The sequence below is a fragment of the Homo sapiens genome, chromosome X, assembly GCF_000001405.40.
Source record: "Homo sapiens chromosome X, GRCh38.p14 Primary Assembly".
Lineage (NCBI taxonomy): Eukaryota > Metazoa > Chordata > Mammalia > Primates > Hominidae > Homo > Homo sapiens.
The window spans coordinates 72,959,238-72,979,430 of record NC_000023.11 but is presented as its reverse complement, the minus strand read 5'-3'; the positions used below and the strand labels follow the sequence as shown (position 1 = coordinate 72,979,430).

The 20,193-nt window shown below is 41.1% G+C and overlaps 1 annotated feature.

The window, feature by feature from the left end:
- Window positions 19,391-19,892: an enhancer, noted in NCBI's record as "H3K4me1 hESC enhancer chrX:72179367-72179868 (GRCh37/hg19 assembly coordinates)". NCBI's record gives its function as "activates a minimal SCP1, AML or CMV promoter by ChIP-STARR-seq in primed H9 embryonic stem cells {active_cell/tissue: H9 hESC(primed)}" and the evidence as "EXISTENCE:reporter gene assay evidence [ECO:0000049][PMID:30033119]".

Below are 20,193 nucleotides of genomic sequence, written 5' to 3'. Positions count from 1 at the left end.
TCGAGTCTTCTATATTGTCATTGACTTTCTGTCTGCTTGTTTTACCAGCAATATATTGAGGGGCATTGAAATCTTTGTCGAGAATTGTTGATGCAGCTATTTCTCTGTGTAGGTCTATTCATTTTTGCTTCATGCATCTTGAAGCTCTGTTTTTAGGTGCACAAACACAGAATTGTTATCTACTCATCATAAATTCACTGAGTTGTCATTATGACATGGTCTTCTTTATCAATGGTAATATTCTTTGTTCTGAAGTCTACTGTGTCTGATATCAATGTAACAACTACGTCTTTATTGTGATTAGTCTTAGCTTGGTATACTGCCCTCACCTTTATGTTTAAGCTATGTTGTGTCTTTATATTTAAAGTGGGTTTATTATAGGCAATATAGAGTTGAGTCTTGCTTTCTTATCCAGTCTGGTGGTTTTTGTCTCTTAATTGGCATGTTGGGACCATTTATATTCAATGTAATTATTGATATGGTTAGGTTTAAATTTACCATCTTGTGTTATGTTTTCTATTGGCTTCATGAATTTGCTCCCCTTTCCTTCTTTTTGGCCTTCATTTTTGAAAGACATTTTCACTGGGCATAGCATTCTAGGTTAGCAGTATTTTTCATTTAGTACTTCAAAAATGTTGCTCCAGTGTCTTCTCACTTGCATTTTTTTCTGATGAGAAATCTGCTGTCATCCTCATTTCAGTCCCTTTGTATGCAACGTGTGGCCTCTCCATCTTTCCTGACTGCTCTTCAGGTTTTTTTTTTCCTCTCTGGTTTTGTAAAATGTTATTGTGATGTGCCTTAGTGTAGCTTTCTCTACGTTTCTTGTGCCTGGTGTGTGTTCAGCTTCTTGGATGTGTGGGCTTAAAGTTTTTAGCAATTATGGGTAGATTTCAGCAGCTATTTATTCAAATATATTTTTTCTGTCCCTCCCTCCTTTATTTTCTCTCTTTCAGGGCCAACAATTGCACATATATTTGGCTGTGTGACATTGTCCTATAGTTCTCTGTTGCTCTGTTCATTTTTCTTACATTTTTTTCTTTGTACAGCTTATATTCCCATGTCTTTAAGTTCACTAATCTTTTTTCCTGCAATGTCTCATACACTGTTAATCCCATCCAGTGCATTTTCCATCATAGATATAGTAGTGCCCATCTCCAGAAGTTTGATTTGCATTTTTTCTGTATCTTCCATGTCTTGACTTGACTTTGAGCATATGAACTACAGTTATTATAACTTTTAATATTCTTCTCTTCTAATTTAAGCATCTTTGTCAATTCTGGGTCATTTTCAGTTGATTGATTTTTCTCCTTGTTATTGTCATGTTTTCTTGGTTCTTCATTTGTTTGCTAGGTTTTAACTGGATGCCAAGACATGATGAGTTTTAGCTTGTTGAGTGCCGAATATTTTTGTATTCTCATAATTTTTCCTGAGCTTTGTTCTGGGATGCAGTTAAGTCGCTTGTAGTTTCATACTTTGGGGTCTTGCTTTTAAGCTTTGTTAGATGATACCAAAGCTGTGTTTAGTCTAGGACCCATTACTCTCCACTAGTTAGGTAAATCTCTTTTCAGCACTTTGTATATTGCTCAGAGAATTGAGAGACTTTCCAGTCTGATAGTTGAGAATAGGCATTATTGCTAGTCTTGTGAAAGTACCAGGTACTGTTCCCTCTAATTCTTTTGCATGGCTCTTTCTTATCCGGGGCAGTTTTCTTACATGCTTATGTTGATCAGTACTATGAGAGGCTTTAAGTAGCAATGTATCAGGTGTCTATTTCTCGAGATCATCATCATATTAGCTAACTTTTATTAAACACTTTTTATACAGAACATAATCTGTAGTTAGACTGGGGTTAATCCCTTCTGTTCCTTCTGTTGTCGGACGAGCTGTTGATGAGCAGGCCTGTGCTAAGCATGCTAGTTTATTTAATATATTAATCCAATGAAGAGAGTGCTGTTATTATTATTCTCATTTACAGATAAGGAAACTGAGGTACAGAGAGTTTAAGTAACTTGCTCAAGGACACACGCAGATAGTAAGTGGTAAACTGAAATTTGAACCTAGATGGTTTGACTTCAGAGATTGAATTTAACTTGTAAATCATCATGTGCTAGGATGATCGGAAATACAATCAGGATGCAAGCTGATGATAAGCCTGCCATTTCATATCTCCCCCACAGCAGCCAATCAGCCTCTAATACACGAACAAGTCCCTCCCTCTAAGCTAAGGGCAAGGAAGTGGGGGTGGCAGATGGGAGGAAGGAAAGAGAAGGTATGTATAATTATTGTGTTGTCACAAATTGCCATTATCCTGTTTGTCCCCAGAGCCCCTTAGCCTCCCAGTTTTGAGGTGGTACCCAATTCTTTGGAACAAATATGGGAGCCTGGTGCCAATGTTGCTGCCCTGCCAGTAAGGGTGCTGACAAGGTCTCTTGTGCAAGAAGCAAAGACCTCCAAGGGATAGTAACAGCTTTGTCTGGGGCCACCAGTACTGGCCTTACACATTTGGGGATGGAGTTTAGGGCCTGTTTTCTCTTGTTCCATGTATCTCATTTAATGAAAAACAGCTTCCTTTTCCATCTCTGTATCCACATGCTGCAGTGGACTATAATGCCTAAGAAGTTCCTCTCCTCAGCTATCACATGTCCCAGAAAATGTGCTCACATTCTGCTCTCCCTTCCCACATCCAGCCAGACACTTCCCCTCTGAGGTCTGTCTTCTGATTTGATTTATTTTCTCGTAAGTATTCTATACTTTCTCCCCAACCAGGTAAAAAGCCTTTCTAATCCTCTCGAGGTTACATCTTCCTTGTTCCCTTCGTGGAATGACAAATTGGCTCTTGCAAACATTTAACTGGAGCACTCTGGCAAATGCTCTTGTTCTTGATTCCAGACATCCTCCAAATGAGAATGATCTATGTATATGGTGCCTTCCTAAGATATATCAGGAACAGTATGGCAATAGGAACACAAGATAGAGTTTGTGCCTCCGTGTCTGTGAAATACTGCCCTAGGAACTGTCTGCTTCTTTTGCAGAGAACACTATCACAATTTTTCACTGACACTTACTCCTGAACCCTGAGCATTGGCCACTGCTACTTCCACCTGCCTCTAATCAGTAGGCTGCCAGCACCTTCCAGAACATTGGTGTACCAGCACAGACCAATTTTAATCAGAGTCTCCTCTGTTTGGTATCTTTAGACCAGCAGATGCCACCAAGCCTCATTTCTCTGTCAATCTCAATACTGCCCCAAATGCAGGAACTTCTGGCTATTATTTTCTTGTTTCCTCTCTATGTCTGACTCTGCCCAACTCTTTTCTTGAATGCACTCTGGCTTTTTGTTTCATACTTTAAATAAATCTCCCCTATATCCTCCCACTTTGTTTTCAGTGTTCACTCCAGCTCCTTTTCTTAATTGTAGCAATACAAGAGAACTAGGTATCATTCCTTATTTTTACCTAGTTCACCTAAAGACACCACTGCCCCACAGCATTTTTCACTAGATGATTCTCTTATTGTCATACCCCAAACACCATATAGACCTGGGGGCAGAGACCTCATTGTCTTCATTCCCTGGATTAATACAACATAGCAGTTAAGAGCTCCAGCTCTACAGTAGCAGCTCAGCTTCCAGTTCGAATCCTGGTATTTCTTCCACTTACTAGCTGTGTGACCTTGGGCAAGTGAATTCACCTTTCTAAGCCTGTTTTCTTATTTATAAATAAAGATAATAAGCCCTTTCTACTATGATTGTTGTGAGGATCAAGCTTAAATGATGTAACAGGGCTGGGCGTGGTGGCTCAGGCTTGTAATCCCAGCACTTTGGGAAGCTGAGGCACGAGGATCATTTGAGCACAGGAGTTCAAGACCGTCCTGGGCAACACAGCAAGACCCCGTCTCTACTAAAAATAAAAAAATAGCTGGGCATGGTGACGCGTGCCCGCAGTCCCACCTACCCAGGAGGCTGAGACACGAGGATAGCTTGAGTGCAGGAGTTTGAGGCTGCAATGAGCTATGATCATGCCACTTCACTCCAGCCTGGGTGACAGAGCAAGACCCTGTCTCAAAAAAAGAAAACAATGAGGTAACATTTAAAGTGTCTAGTATTGATCCTACCAGAGGAGAACCTCCACACAAGTATTATCATTATTGTTGTTACTTTCAGATTATGACTCCCTCACCCTCTTAGAAAAGCCCTTCCTCCTCTGAAGTTTGACTCAAGACAGCTACCGAGAGCCTAAATAGAATATAACCAGAGAACTGTAGCACGATGCAGAAGACAGAAGAGGGAATGCGGTTAGAGCTTCCAGAACATGTAACAGAAAAACATATCCAAGTTTCTCTCTTCTTGAGCACCACCATGTGGTACAACTAGACATGTAGGACCACAACTTTGGGAAGAGGCTGGCGTTGGAGGAAGCGACTTGGAAGGCTTCTGCTGAAAAGTAGTAAGAGAAGCCATGAGCGTGGATGAGACAAACAAGGGAGGAAGAGTAGGAAGAAAACAGGGCAATGGCAGAAAATTGGAGTAATAGGCGTCTAGACTGCCTTCAAAATAAAATGTCACCTTAACAGACATCTGGTGACTATGGATCCCATAGGAAATAAGACAGTGTGTAAAGATAAGTGAGCATGTGCACGGGCCAAGGAATAGAGCAGGACAACCTGAGTTACTTCTCCTTCTCTCCCTCCCTCCCCTCTTCTTTTCTCTCTCCCTCCTCATTTTCTCAATGTTCCCCTTTCTCCCCCTTTTATTCTTATTCATCCATCCATCCATCCGTCCATGGAGCCATCCATGATACATCCATTCACCACTGGAACTGGGGACAAAAAATAAATAAGCCACAGGCCCTGTTCTAACAAAGGTCACAGTCTGTGGGATGGGGTAGGGTGGAGGCAATTAAGCAGATCTTTATAATATGTCAGTGCTCACGACCCAACAATCACCAGGAGCACGCCTGTAGTCGAACAAATTTGGGTTTATTGCTTGTTGTATTAAGGGAGAATGCACCCCATGGGAAACTGCGGAGCAACTCAGCAGGAGGGCATTAGAAAGGACTTACAGGATTTGGGCAAACTTTGCATTAGATACTTCTAAGGAGCAGAGGCAATCCTATGATTGGGTATCTTAATAAATCTTATCTAGAATGAGGGAAGAATAAATGATGCCTAGGGCTGTAAGTGGTAAAGAAGCAGCAGTTACCAACAGTGTATAGGCGTTCCTTTTTCACTGCAGCCTCGCCACCATCTATCGTTTTTGGACAGTTTAGTAATAGCCATTCTGACTGGTGTGAGATGATGTCTCATGGTGGTTTTGATTTGCATTTCTCAGATGATTAGTGATGCTGAGCATGTTTTCATGTTTGTTGGCCGCTTATACATCTTCCTTTGAGAAGTGTCTGTTCATGTCCTTTGCCTGTTTTTTTTTTTTTTTAAATGGGGCTATTTGTGTTTTACTTGTTGATTTGTTTAAGTTCCCTATAGATTCTGGATATTAGGCCGTTGTCACATGCATTGTTTGCTAATATCTTCTCTCATTCTGTAGGCTGTCTGTTTACTCTGGTGCTGGCTTCTTTTGCTGTGTAGAAGCTCTTCAGTTTAATTCGGTCTTGGGGTGTCAATTTTTGTTTTTGTTGCAATTAAATCTGGAGACTTAGTCAAAAATTCTTTGCCAAGGCTGATGTCCAGAAGAGTGTTTCCTAAGTTGTCCTCCAGGATTCTTATGGTTTGGGGTGTTACATTTGAATCTTTGATCCACCTTGTGTTTATTTTTGTATGTGGTGAAAAGTGGGGGGGTCCAGATTCAATTTTCTGCAAGTGGCTAGCCAGTTATCCCACCATCATTTATTGAATAGGGAGTCGAGTCCTTTCCTCATTGCATGTGTTTGCCAGCCTTGTCAAAGTTCAGATGGTTGTAGGTGTGCAGCTCTATTTCTGAGTTTTCCATTCTGTTCCATTGGTCTATGTGTCTTTTTTTTTTTTTTTTTATCAGTATCAAGCTGTTTTGGTTCCTGTGGCTTTATAGTGTAGTTACAGAGGTAACCCCATCAGGCTAGCAGCAGTCCTATCAGCAGAAACCTTACAAGCCAGAAAAGATTGGGGGTCTAATTTCAGTGTCCTTACTGAAAAGAAGTTCCAGCCAAGAATTCCACATGCTGCCAAACAAAGCTTCATAAGTGAAGGAGAAATAAAATCCTTCTCGGACAAGCAAATGCTGAGGGAATACATTTCCACTAGGCCAGCATTACAAGAGGTTCTTAAGGGAGTGCTAAACATGGAATCAAAATAATGACACCTGCTACCACAAAAGCACCCTTAAGCACATAGCACACAGGCAGTATAAAGCAACTACGCAGTCAAGTCCACATAACAACCACCAGGCATCATGATGACAGGATCAAAATCCCGTATATGAATACTAACCTTGAATGTAAATGGGCTAAACACCCCACTGAAAAGGCACAGAGTGGCAGGCTGGACAAAAGGACAAGACCCAACCATCTGCTGCCTTCAAGAGACCCATCTCACATGCAACGACACCCACAGGCTCAAAGTAAAAGGGTGGAGGAAGATCTACCATGCAAATGGAAAACAAAAAGGAACATGAGTCCCTCTTCTTATTTCAGATAAAACAGACTTTAAACCAATAGAAATTAAGAAGGACAATGAAGGGCATTACAAACAATAACAATCCAACAGGAAGCCTTAGCTATCTTAAATATATATGCACTCAACATTGGAGAGCCCAGATGCATAAAATGAGTTCTTCTTGACCTATCAGAAGACTTAGACAACCACACAATAGTAGTGGGAGTGTTCAACACCCCACTGACAGCATTAGACAGATTACTGAGGCAGAACACTAACCAAGAAACCCTGGACTTAAACTTGACACTTGACCATTTGGACCTAATAGACATCTACGAAACACTCCACCCAACAACCACAGAATCCACATTCTTCTCATGTGCACACAGAATATATTCTAAGATCAACCACATGGTCAGTCATAAAGCAAGTCTCAATAAATTAAAAAAAATTTAAATCATACCAAGTGTACTCTTGGACCACAGTACAATAAAAATAGAAATCAGTATCAAGGAGATCTCTCAAAACTACACAGTAGCATTTTAGATGCTAGACATGATATGTTGACAAACTGCAACACAGGCAGTTAACAAAAATGAAATGATTATTAGCCCTTGCTGCAGATCTCCAAGCCAAGGGTGTCTAGGTTATAAAGCCTAGGCAATGAAAGCATGTCCCAGAATCCAGCTGGGTCTGCCTTAGAGATCCAGATGAGTTTATTTTCTTTTAATATACCGTAAACTGTTCTACTTGCCGTGTAATATTTACACAGGTGCAGCGAGATGTATTTACTCTAACATGAGCTCTCCTTTGGATAGCTAAGAGGAAACCAAGGGCTATGCAATTGTCCATGAGAACTCTAGCTAACAGATTTAGAGTAGTTTTTGGAGGGCATCCAGAGTAGAAATTGTTCCATTTGTGACTTCTTCCAGGTCCAGAGAAAAATTCTGCACCACCTCTTCTAGTCGTATTATTTCTGCTGTGCGAATTGTAGCCAGCATAGTATGCAAAAAGAGGGAGTCAGTTATCTCTTCTGGGAATTCTCCCAAGTAGTTTGTGCTCACCTCACCTTGAAGGTTTCTGGGCTTCTTCCCCATGCAAACATGGAGAGGTACTAGTTCTAAATATCTCAATTCTCTGTCAATCATCCAGATTCTCCAGGCTGATTTAGTGGCAGAAGAGGGTAAGCCTGATGTCCACTTAAGTAGTATCCAGGTGGGATACAGGCTGCATTGGGAGTATGACTATAACTTGGCCCATCATGAGTAAGCCCATTTTTCTTTTCTTTTTTGAGACAGAGTCTTGCTCTGTCACCCAGGCTGGAGTGCAGTGGCACGATCTCAGCTCACTGCAAGCTCCGCCTCCTGGGTTCACACCATTCTCCTGCCTCAGCCTCCCGAGTAGCTGGAGCTACAGGGGCCCGCCACCACGCCCGGCTAATTTTTTCTATTTTTTAGTAGAGACGGGGTTTCACCGTGTTAGCCAGGATGGTCTCAATCTCCTGACCTCGTGATCCACCTGCCTCAGCCTCCCAAAGTGCTGGGATTACAGGCGTGAGCCACCGCTCCCAGCCAGAGTAAGCCCATTTTTTGTCACTTAGGGGGGTAAATTCCTTGAGTGGAGCCAAATAGTTCCTGCAAAGCAGCTGCAGTGTCTTTGAATGGAACAAATATTTATTCCCATTCCTGAGGGTCTAGGTTTCTGTGTAACGTTGTAATGACCTCAGTAGAAGCATTTTATTGATGTGAAGTCAAAGTCTGTTTTTCTCACAAGACTAGAATTTGGAGAGGAAATTGTAAGTACCAGAAGGAGTCTGCAAAAGGAAACCTACTTTTTTTGGTCAATTTAATTTATTTATTTACTTTTTTTTTTTTTTTTTTTTAACACTGAGTCTCACTGTTGCCTAGGCTGGAGTGCAGTGGTGCAATCTCTGCTCACTGCAACCTCTGTCTCCCAGATTCAAGTGATTCTCCTGTCTCAGCCTCCGGAGTAGCTGGGATTACAGACACCCACCACCACAACTGGCTAATTTTTATATTTTTAATAGAGACGGGGTTTTGCCATCTTGGCCAGTCTGGTCTCGAACTCCTGACCTCAGGTTATCTGCCTGCCTCGGCCTCCCAAAGTGCTGGGATTACAGGTGTGAGCCACCATGCCTGGCCTTATTTATTTATCTATTTTTTATTATATTTTAAGTTCTAGGGTACATGTGCACAACGTACAGGTTTGTTACATAGGTATACATGTGCCATGTTGGTTTGCCGCACCCATCAACTCGTCATTTACATTAGATATTTCTCTTAATGCTGTCCCTCCCCCATCCCTCCACCCCCTGACAGGCCCTGGTGTGTGATGTTCCCTGCCCTGTGTCCACGTGTTCTCATTGTTCAACTCCCACCTGTGAGTAAGAACATGTGGTGTTTGGTTTTCTGTCTTTGTGATAGTTTGCTGAGAATGATGGTTTCCAGCTTCATCCATGTCACTGCACAGGACGTGAACTCATCCTTTTTTATGGCTGCATAGTATTCTATGGTCTATATGTGCCACATTTTCCTAATCCAGTCTATCATTGTTGGACATTTGGGTTGGTTCCAAGTCTTTACTATTGTGAATAGTGCCACAATAAACATACGTGAACATACGTCTTTATAAGTAGCATGATTTATAATCCTTTGGGTATATACCCAGTAATGGGATCGCTGGGTCAAGATCGCTAGTTCTAGATCCTTGAGGAATCGCCACACTGTCTTCCACAATGGTTGAACTAATTTACACTCCCACAAACAGCGTAAAAGCATTCCTATTTCTCCACATCATCTCCAGCATCTGTTGTTTCCTGACATTTTAATGACCGCCATTCTAACTGGTGTGACATGGTATCTCACTGTGGTTTTGAGTTGCATTTCTCTGACGACCAGTGATGATGAGCATTTTTTCATATGTCTGTTGGCTGCATACATGTCTTCTTTTGAGAAGTGTCTGTTCATATCTTTTGCCCACTTTTTGATGGGGTTGTTTGGTCTTTTTCTTATAAATTTGTTTAAGTTCTTTGTAGATTCTGGATGTTAGCCTTTTGTCAGATGGGTAGATTGCAAAGATTTTCTCCCATTCTTTAGGTTGCCTGTTCACTCTGATGGTAGTTTCTTTTGTTGTGCAGAAACCCTTTAGTTTAATTAGATCCCATTTGTCAATTTTGGCTTTTGTTGCCATTGCTTTTGGTGTTGTAGTCATGAAGTCTTTGCCCATGCCTATGTTCTGAAGGGTATTGCCTAGGTTTTCTTCTAGGGTTTCTATGGTGTTAGGTCTTACATTTAAGTCTTTAATCCATCTTGAGTTAATTTTTGTATAAGGTGTAAGGAAGGGATCCAGTTTCAGCTTTCTACATATGGCTAGCCAGTTTTCCCAGCACCATTTATTAAATAGGCTATCCTTTCCCCATTGCTTGTTTTTGTCAGGTTTGTAAAAGATTAGATGGTTGTAGATGTGTGATGTTGTTTCTGAGGTCTCTGTCCCGTTCCATTGGTCTGTTTATCTGTTTTGGTACCATGCTGTTTTGGTTACTGTAGCCTTGTAGTATAGTTTGAAGTCAGGTAGTGTGATGCCTCCAGCTTTGTTCTTTTTGCTTAGGATTTTCTTGGCTATGCGGGATCATTTTTCGTTCCATATGAACTTTAATGTATTTTTTTCTAATTCTGTGAAGAAAATCAGTGGTAGCTTGATGGGGATAGCATTGAATCTACAAATTACCTTGGGCAGTATGGCCATTTTCACCATATTGATTCTTCCTATCCTTGAGCATGGAATGTTCTTCCATTTCTTTGTGTCCTCTTTTATTTTGTTGAGAAGTGGTTTGTAGTTCTCCTTGAAGAGGTCCTTCACATCCTTGTGAGTTGCATTCCTAGGTATTTTGTTCTCTTTGTAGTAATTGTGAATGGGAGTTCACTCATGATTTGGCTCTCTGTTTGTCCATTAGTGGTGTATAGGAATGCCTGTGACTTTTGCACATTGATTTTGTATCCTGAGACTTTGCTGAAGTTGTTTATCAGCTTAAGGAGGTTTTGGACTGAGATGATGGGATTTTCTAAATATACAATCATGTCATCTGCAAACTGAGACAATTTGACTTTCTCTTTTCCTAACTGAATACCTTTATTTCTTTCTCTTCCCTGATTGCCCTAGCCAGAACTTCCAACATTATGTTGAATAGGAGTGGTGAGAGAGGGCATCCCTGTCTTGTGCGAGTTTTCAAAGGGAATGCTTCCAGTTTTTGCCCATTCAGTATGATACTGGCTGTGGGTTTGTCATAAATAGCTCTTACTATTTTGAGATACGTTCCATGAATACCTAGTTTATTGAGAGTTTTTAGCATGAAGGGCTGTTGAATTCTGTCAAAGATGTTTTCTGCATCTATTGAGATAATAATGTGGTTTTTGTCGTTGGTTCTGTTTATGTGATGGATTACGTTTATTGATTTGCATAGGTTGAACCAGCCTCTTGGATCCCAGGGATGAAGCCGACTTGATCATGGTGGATAAGCTTTTTGATGTGCTGCTGGATTCAATTTGCCAGTATTTTACTGAGGATTTTCACACAGATGTTCATCAGGGATATTGGCCTAAGATTCTCTCTCTTTTTTTTTTTTTTTTTTGTTGTGTCTCTGCCAGGCTTTGGATCAGGATGATGCTGGCCTCATAAAATGAGTTAGGGAGGATTCCCTCTTTTTCTATTGATTGAAATAGTTTCAGAAGGAATGGTACCAGCTCCTCTTTTTACCTCTGGTAGAATTCGACTGTGAATCGTCTAGTCCTGGACTTTTTTTGGTTGGTAGGCTACTAATTATTGCCTCAATTTCAGAACCTGTTGTTGGTCTATTCAGGGATTCAACTGCTACCTGGTTTAGACTTGGGAGGGTGTATGTGTCCAGGAATTTATTCTTCTAGATTCCTAGTTTATTTGCATAGAGTTATTTATAGTATTTTCTGATTGTAGTTTGTATTTCTGTGGGATCCGTGGTGATATCCCCTTTATCATTTTTTATTGTGTCTATTTGATTCTTTATTTTTAAAGTTTATTTATTTAAAAATTAGAAAGATAAAAAAATTTATTGTTATTCATAGTACTTTTTATATCACCGCCCATTACACACACACACACACACACACACACAAACTCACAGCAGAAAGAAACATTTCATAAAACAAATGTATCTTTTCCATTTGTGTAATATCCTGATCTGTTCTATTTTTTTTTAATTTTTTTTATTATACTTTAAGTTTTAGGGTACATGTGCACAACATACAGGTTTGTTCCATATGTATACATGTGCCATGTTGGTGTGCTGCACCCATTAACTCTTCATTTAACATTAGGTATATCTCCTAATGCTATCCCTCCCCCCTCCCCCCACCCCACAACAGTCCCTGGTGTGTGATGTTCCCCTTCCTGTGTCCATGTATTCTCATTGTTCAATTCTCACATATGAGTGAGAACATGTGGTGTTTGGTTTTTTGTCCTTGTGATAGTTTGCTGAGAATGATGGTTTCCAGCTTCATCCATGTCCGTACAAAGGACATGAACTCATCCTTTTTTATGGCTTCATAGTATTCCATGGTGTATATGTGCCACATTTTCTTAATCCCGTCTATCATTGTTGGACATTTGGGTTGGTTCCAAGTCTTTGCTATTGTGAATAGTGCTGCAACAAACACACGTGTGCATGTGTCTTTATAGCAGCATGTTTTATAATCCTTTTGGTATATACCCAGTAATGGGATGGCTGGGTCAAATGGTATTTCTAGCTCTAGATCCCTGAGGAATCACCACACTGACTTCCACAATGGTTGAACTAGTTTACATTCCCACCAACAGTGTAAAAGTGTTCCTATTTCTCCACATCCTCTCCAGCACCTGTTGTTTCCTGACTTTTCAATGATCGTCATTCTAACTGGTGTGAGATGGTATCTCATTGTGGTTTTGATTTGCATTTCTCTGATGGCCAGTGATGATGAGCATTTTTTCATGTGTCTGTTGGCTGCATAAATGTCTTCTTTTGAGAAGTGTCTGTTCATATCCTTCACCCACTTTTTGATGGGGTTGTTTGTTTTTTTCTTGTAAATTTGTTTGAGTTCATTGTAGATTCTGGATATTAGCCCTTTGTCAGATGGGTAGATTGCAAAAATTTTCTCCCACTCTGTAGGTTGCCTGTTCACTCTGATGGTAGTTTCTTTTGCTGCGCAGAAGCTCTTTAGTTTAATTAGATCCCATTTGTCAATTTTGGCTTTTGTTGCCATTGTTTTTGGTGTTTTAGATATGAAGTCCTTGCCCATGCTTATGTCCTGAATGGTATTGCCTAGGTTTTCTTCTAGGGCTTTTATGGTTTTAGGTCTAACATTTAAGTCTTTAATCTTCTCTCTTTTCTTCTTTATGAGTTTTGCTAGTGGTCTATGTATTTTGTTGATCTTTTCAAAAAACCAGCTCCTGGATTCTTTGATTTTTTTTTTGAAGGGATTTTGTGTCTCTATCTCCTTCAATTCTTCTCTGATCTTACTTATTTCTTACCTTCTGCTGGCTTTTGAATTTGTTTGCTCTTGCTTCTCTAGGTCTTTTAATCCTGATGTTAGGGTGTTGATTTTAGATCTTTCCTCCTTTCCCTTGAGGGTATTTAGTGCTATAAATTTCCCTCTACGCACTGCTTTAAATGTGTCCCAGAGATTCTGGTATGTTGTGTCTTTGTTCTCATTGGTTTCAAAGAACACCTTTATTTCTGTCTTCATTGCGTTATTTTACCCCCAGTAGTCACTCAGGAGTAGGTTGTTCAGTTTCCATGTAGTTGTGTGGTTTTGAGTGAGTTTATTTTTTTTTTTTACGTTGACATTAATTTTTTTTATTATGCATTAAGTTCTAGGGTACCTGTGCAGAACATGCAGGTTTGTTACATATGTATACATGTGCCATGTTGGTGTGCTGCACCCATTAACTCGTCATTTTACAGTAGGTATATCTCCTAATGCTTTCCCTCCCCACTTCCCCCACCCCACAACAGGCCCTGGTGTGTGATGTTCCCCTTCCTGTGTCCAAGTGTTCTGATTGTTCAGTTCCCACCTATGAGTGAGAACATGTGGTGTTTGGTTTTTTGCTCTTGCGATAGTTTGCTGAGAATGACGGCTTCCAGCTTCATCCATGTCCCTGCAAAGGACATGAACTCATCCTTTTTTATGGCTGCATAGTATTCCATGGTGTATATGTGCCACATTTTCTTAATCCAGTCGATCATTGATAGACATTTGGGTTGGTTCCAAGTCTTTGCTATTGTGAATAGTGCCGCAATAAACATACGTGTGCATGTGCATTTATGGCAGCATGATTTATAATCCTTTGGGTATATTCCCAGTAATGGGATGGCTGGGTCAAATGGTATTTCTAGCTCTAGATCCTTGAGGAGTCGCCACACTGTCTTCCACAATGGTTGAGCTAGTTTACAGTCCCACCAACAGTGTAAAAGTGTTCCTGTTTCTCCACATCCTCTCCAGCACCTGTTGTTTCCTGACGTTTTAATGATTGCCATTCTAACTGGTGTGAGATGGTATCTCATTGTGGTTTTGATTTGCATTTCTCTGATGGCCAGTGATGATAAGCATTTTTTCATGTGTCTGTTGGCTGCATAAATGTCTTCTTTTGAGAAGTGTCTGTTCATATCCTTCACCCACTTTTTGATGGGGTTGTTTGTTTTTTTCTTGTAAATTTGTTTGAGTTCATTGTAGATTCTGGATATTAGCCCTTTGTCAGATGGGTAGATTGCAAAAATTTTCTCCCATTCTGTAGGTTGCCTGTTCACTCTGATGGTAGTTTCTTTTGCTGTGCAGAAGCTCTTTAGTTTAATTAGATCCCATTTGTCAATTTTTGCTTTTGTTGCCATTGCTTTTGGTGTTTTAGCATTTTTTTTTTTTACTTTAGAACGATTTATTTGGAAACCATTTTCAGAATGTTTTAGAGTGAAAAGTAGTCAGTTAGGTTCTCAATACAATGTATCAGATTAAATGCACTAAATCCCTAAATTTGATAAAGACAATAGGGGGGAAACTCCAGTAACAGAAAGCATTGAGGAGGCTGTGTCTAAGGGACTTTTTGAGTGATGTAAGAGAGAAATAAAGGCAAAGTTGAAAATAACTCAATATGTGAGAAGACAGGAATGGAAGTTTGCTGGAAAGTGTTAAGGAGAGAAATGAGTTTAGTTTCTAAATTCTAAGGCATTGTATGGAAACTTCCAGCAGGTAGTTAGAATTCAGGTCTGAGAATTGAGTGAGAGGTGAGAATTGAATCAATGGGAGCTTGACAGGGAGAGTAAGGAATTAGACAAAGATGGGAAGAGGCCAAACAGAAAACTTCAGGTGGCATCTACTTTCTATGAAGAAACCTGACTAAAATAAGGAAAGTGACTGAGCCAGCAGAGGAGGAGAAAGACAACTGACGTCAGAGGAGCTGGATGAGCATTCCAGGACGAGGCTCCAAGGTAAAGCATGTGGTAACTGCACAAACGTCAAGTAGAATGAAGAATGAGGAAATGCCTGTAATAAAACAGGCATTTGAGGGTATCTGGTGACGTTTCAGAGCCCTAGACTCTTCTTCTGTGTATGGTAGCATCTAGATTTCCACTTTGACAAAAGCAGTGGCTACTTCTTTCAACACTGTTATGGACTGAATTGTGTCACCCAAAATTCATATGTCGAGCCCTAATGCGATGGTATTTGTTGATGAGACCTTTGGGAGGTAATTAGGGTTACATAGGGACATAAGGGTAGGGCCCTAATTTAATGGGATTAGTGCCCTCATAAGGAGAAGGAGCACAAATCAGCTCTCTCTTTCAACGCAGTCACATAGAAAAGTCATGTGAGCACACAGTGAGAAGGCGGCCATCTGCAAGCCAGAAAGAGAGCCCTTACTATAAACCAGCAATGATGGCACCTTGACCTTAAGATTTGTAGCCTCCAGAACTGTGAAAAATGAATGTCAATTGTTTAAGGCACCCAGTCTGGAATATTTTGGTATGGCAAGCAAAAGACTGATACAATAACCAATAAAGCAACAAAGTTTGATTTGCCAGTTCTGGAAAATGCCCCCCTCAGGAATACTTAGACCTCGGTTCTATCCCTGGATCCTAACTAACTCAAAACTACTGGATTAGTAACTTAACCTCTCTGAGCTTCAGTTGCAGAATCCAGAGAAAGAGGACACTGAAGTAAACCATCTCAGAGGTTCTTTTGAACTTTTCTGGTGTATTTTTCCAAGAAGCAATTTCAATATTGGAATGTTGGTAAATGTTGTCAAGCCCCCAAATAGCAACCACATCATCTCCATTACTAGAGATAGGTGGTCAGAAAATGGGCCTAGATGGCATTTTAAATACTTTTCTACTACAAAGATTCTTTGCTGTTTAACAAGGTTGTTGGCAGCCCCTGAGATGGTATAGTCAAGAAAAGACCTGGCAGGAAAGAAGTGCCATTCAGAGAAAACACCACTGATTTTTAAAATGTGAATTGCAGGCTTCTCCTCCCCTTTCCTTTATCAACTGTGATTAGGCTGTACTTTGCTCGAGTTTACAATAATGATACTTTTACACTCAGCACTGTGCATTCTGAAGAGTGGGCCTAAAAGTACTTTACCATCTCATAGAGAAGAGTTCTTTCCTAGCAGGGTGTATTGCCAAGCCCTCTCTGCTTTGTCCTTCCCTCCATGGTTTGTTAACCAGCAGGAATGCTTTTTTTTTATTATTATACTTTAAGTTTTAGGGCACATGTGCACAATGTACCGGTTAGTTACATATGTATACCTGTGCAATGCTGGTGTGCTGCACCCATTAACTCGTCATTTAGCATTAGGTATATCTCCTAATTGTTTTAGCAGTCTTATACACCAATAACAGACAAACAGAGAGCCAAATCATGAGTGAACTCCCGTTCACAATTGCTTCAAAGAGAATAAAATACCTAGGAATCCAACTTAACAAGGGATGTGAAGGACCTCTTCAAGGACAACTACATACCACTGCTCAAGGAAATATGAGAGGACACAAGCAAATGGAAGAGCATTCCATGCTCATGGATAGGAAGAATCAATATCGTGAAAAAGGCCATACTGCCCAAGGTAATTTATAGATTCAATGTCATCCCCATCAAGCTACCAATGACTTTCTTCACAGAATTGGAAAAAACTACTTTAAAATTCATGTGGAACCAAAAAAGAGCCCGCATTTCCAAGACAATCCTAAGCCAAAAGAACAAAGCTGGAGGCATCACGCTACCTGACTTAAGTGAGTTTGTTAATCCCGAGTTCTAATTTGATTGCACTGTGGTCTGAGAGACTGTTTGTGGTGATTTCTGTTCTTTTACATTTGCTGAGGAGTGCTTTACTTCCAATTATGTGGTCAATTCTGGAATAAGTGCGATGTGGTGCTGAGAAGAATGTATATTCTGTTGATTTGGTGTGGAGACTTCAGTAGATGTCTATTAAGTCCACTTGGTCCAGAAGTGAGTTCAAGTCCTGGATATCCTTGTTAACCTTCAGTCTTGTTGTTCTGTCTAATATTGACAGGGGGGTGTTAAAGTTTCCCATTATTATTGTGTGGGAGTCTAAGTCTCTTTGTAGGTCTCACTTGCTCTATGAATCTGGGTGCTCCTGTACTGGGTGCTTATATATTTAGGATAGTTAGCTCTTCTTGTTTAATTGATCCCTTTACCATTATGGAATGGCCTTCTTTGTCTTTTTTGATCTTTGTTGCTTTAAAGTCTGTTTTATCAGAGACTAGGATTGCAACCCCTACTTTTTTTTGCTTTGCATTTGCTTGGTAGATCTTCCTCCATCCCTTTATTTTGAGCCTTTATGTGTCTTTGCACATGAGATGGGTCTCCTGAATAGAGCACACCAATGGATCTTGACTCTTTATCCAATTTGCCAGTCTGTATCTGTTAATTGGGGCATTTAGCCCATTTACATTTAAGCTAAATATTGTTATGTGTGGATTTGATCCTGTCATTATGATGTTAGCTGGTTATGTTGCCCGTTAATTGATGCAGTTTCTTCATAGCTTTGATGGTCTCTACAATTTGGCATGTTTTTGCAGTGGCTGATACCGGTTGTTCCTTTCCATGTTTAGTGCTTCCTTCCGGAGCTCTTGTAAGGCAGGCCTGGTGGTGACAGAATCTCCCAGCATTTGCTTGTCTGTAAGAGATTTTATTTTTCCTTCACGTATGAAGCTTAATTTGGCTGGATGTGAGATTCTGGGTTGAAAATTCTTTTCTTTAAAAAAGTTGAACATTGGCCCCCACTCTCTTCTGGCTTGTAGGGTTTCTGCCAAGAGAGCCACTGTTAGTCTGACCAGCTTCCCTTTGTGGGTAACCTGACCTTTCTCTCTGGTTGCCCTTAACATATTTTCCTTCATTTCAACCTGGGTGAGTCTGACAATCATGTGTCTTGGGGTTGCTCTTCTCAAGGAGTATCTCTGTGGTGTTCTCTGTATTTCCTGAATTTGAATGTTGGCCTGCCTTGCTAGGTTAGGGAAGTTCTCCTGGATAATATCCTGAAGAGTGTTTTCTAACTTGGTTTCATTCTCCCCATCCCTTTCCGGTACACGAATCAAATGTAGATTTGGTCTTTTCACATAGTCTCATTATTTCTTGGAGGCTTTGTTCTTTTGTTTTCACTCTTTCTTCTCTAATCTTGTCTTCTCTCTTTATTTCAATAATTTGATGTTCAATCACTGATATCCTTTCTTCCACTTGATTGAATCGGTTATTGAAGCTTGTAAATGCATCACAAAGTTCTCGTGCCATGGTTTTCAGCTCCATCAGGTCATCTAAGCTCTTCTCTACACTGTTTATTCTAGTTTAGCCATCCGACTAACCTTTTTTCAAGGTTTTTAGCTTCCTTGTGATAGGCTAGAACATGCTCCTTTAGCTCAGAGAAGTTTGTTGTTACTGACCTTCTGAAGCCTACTTCTGTCAACTTGTTAAACTCATTCTCCATCCAGTTTTGTTCTGCTGCTGGCGAGGAGCTGCAATCCTTTAGAGGAGAAGAGGCACTCTGGTGTTTGGAATTTTCAGCTTTTCCGTTCTGGTTTCTCCCCATCTTTGTGGTTTTATCTACCTTTGGTCTTTGATGTTGGTGACCTACAGATGGGATCTTGGTGTGGATGTCCTTTTTGTTGATGTTGTTGCTATTCCTTTCTGTTTGTTACCTTTCCTTTGAACAGTCAGACTCCTCAGCTGCAGGTCTACTGGAGTTTGCTGGAGGTCCACTCCAGACCCTGTTTGCCTAGGTATCACCAGGGGAGACTGCAGAACAGCAAATATTGCTGCCTGATCCTTCCTCTGGAAGCTTCGTCCTAGAAGAGCACCTGCCTGCTTGAGGTGTCTGTTGGCCCCTACTGGGAGGTGTTTCCCAGTCAGGCTACACAGGGGTCAGGGACCAGCTTGAGGAGGCAGTCTGTCCATTCTTGGAGCTTGAATGCCATGCTGAGATAACCACTCCTCTCTTCAGAGCTGTCTGACAGGGATGTTTAAGTCCGCAGAAGCTGTCTGCTGCCTTTTGTTCAGATATGCCCTGCCCCCAGAGGTGGAATCTATAAAGACAGTAGGCCTTGCTGAGCTGCAGTGGGCTCCACACAGTTTGTGATTCCCAGCTGCTTTGTTTACACGGTAAGCTACTCAAGGCTCAGCAGTGGTGGACGCCTCTCCCCCCGTCAAGCTGCAGCATAGCAGGTTGATCTTAGACTGCTGGCGCTAGCAGTGAGCAAGGCTCCGTGGGCATGGGACCCACCGAGCCAGGCATGGGAGGGTATCTCCTGATCTGCCGGTTGCTGAGACCGTGGGAAAAGTGCAGTATTTGGTCAGGAGTGCACCGTTTCTCCATGTACGGTCTGTCATGGCTTCCTTTGGCTAGGAAAGGGAAATCCCCCGACCCCTTGTGCTTCCTGGGTGAGGCAACGCCCTGCCCTGCTTCAGTTCACCCCCAGTGGGCTATACCCACTGTTCAACCAGTCCCAATGAGATGAACCAGGCACCTCAGTTGGAAATGCAGAAATCACCCATCTTCTGCATCGATCTTGCTGGGAGCTGCAGACTGGAGCTGTTCCTATTAGGCCATCTTCCTAAGTCAGCATCTGTTTATTTATTTTCTAAGTCAGAGTTTCACTCTGTCACAGGCTGGTGTGCAGTGGCATGATCCCGGCTCACTGCAACCTCCGTCTCCCGGATTTAAGCAATTCTTGTGCCTCATGAGTAGCTGGGAATACAGGCAGGTGCCACCACACCGGGCTTATTTTTGTACTTTTGGTAGAGACAGGGTTTCACCATGTTGGCCAGACTGGTCTCAAACTGCTGAGCTCAAGAGATCTGCCTGACTCAGCCTCCTAAAGTGCTCGGATTACAGGCGTGAGCCACCGTGCCCAGCCCTACCTTTTGAACTGTTTAAAGGGATGGCTATTAAATTTTGGCCAGAAAGGAGAACAAGGGACTATAAATCCTAGAACCAGTGAACTTCAGAGCAATAGCTAGAGTCTGGGAAAAAGTACAAAAGAGTTTTGCTTTTTTCTTAAGTGGTAGAAGAAAACCATAG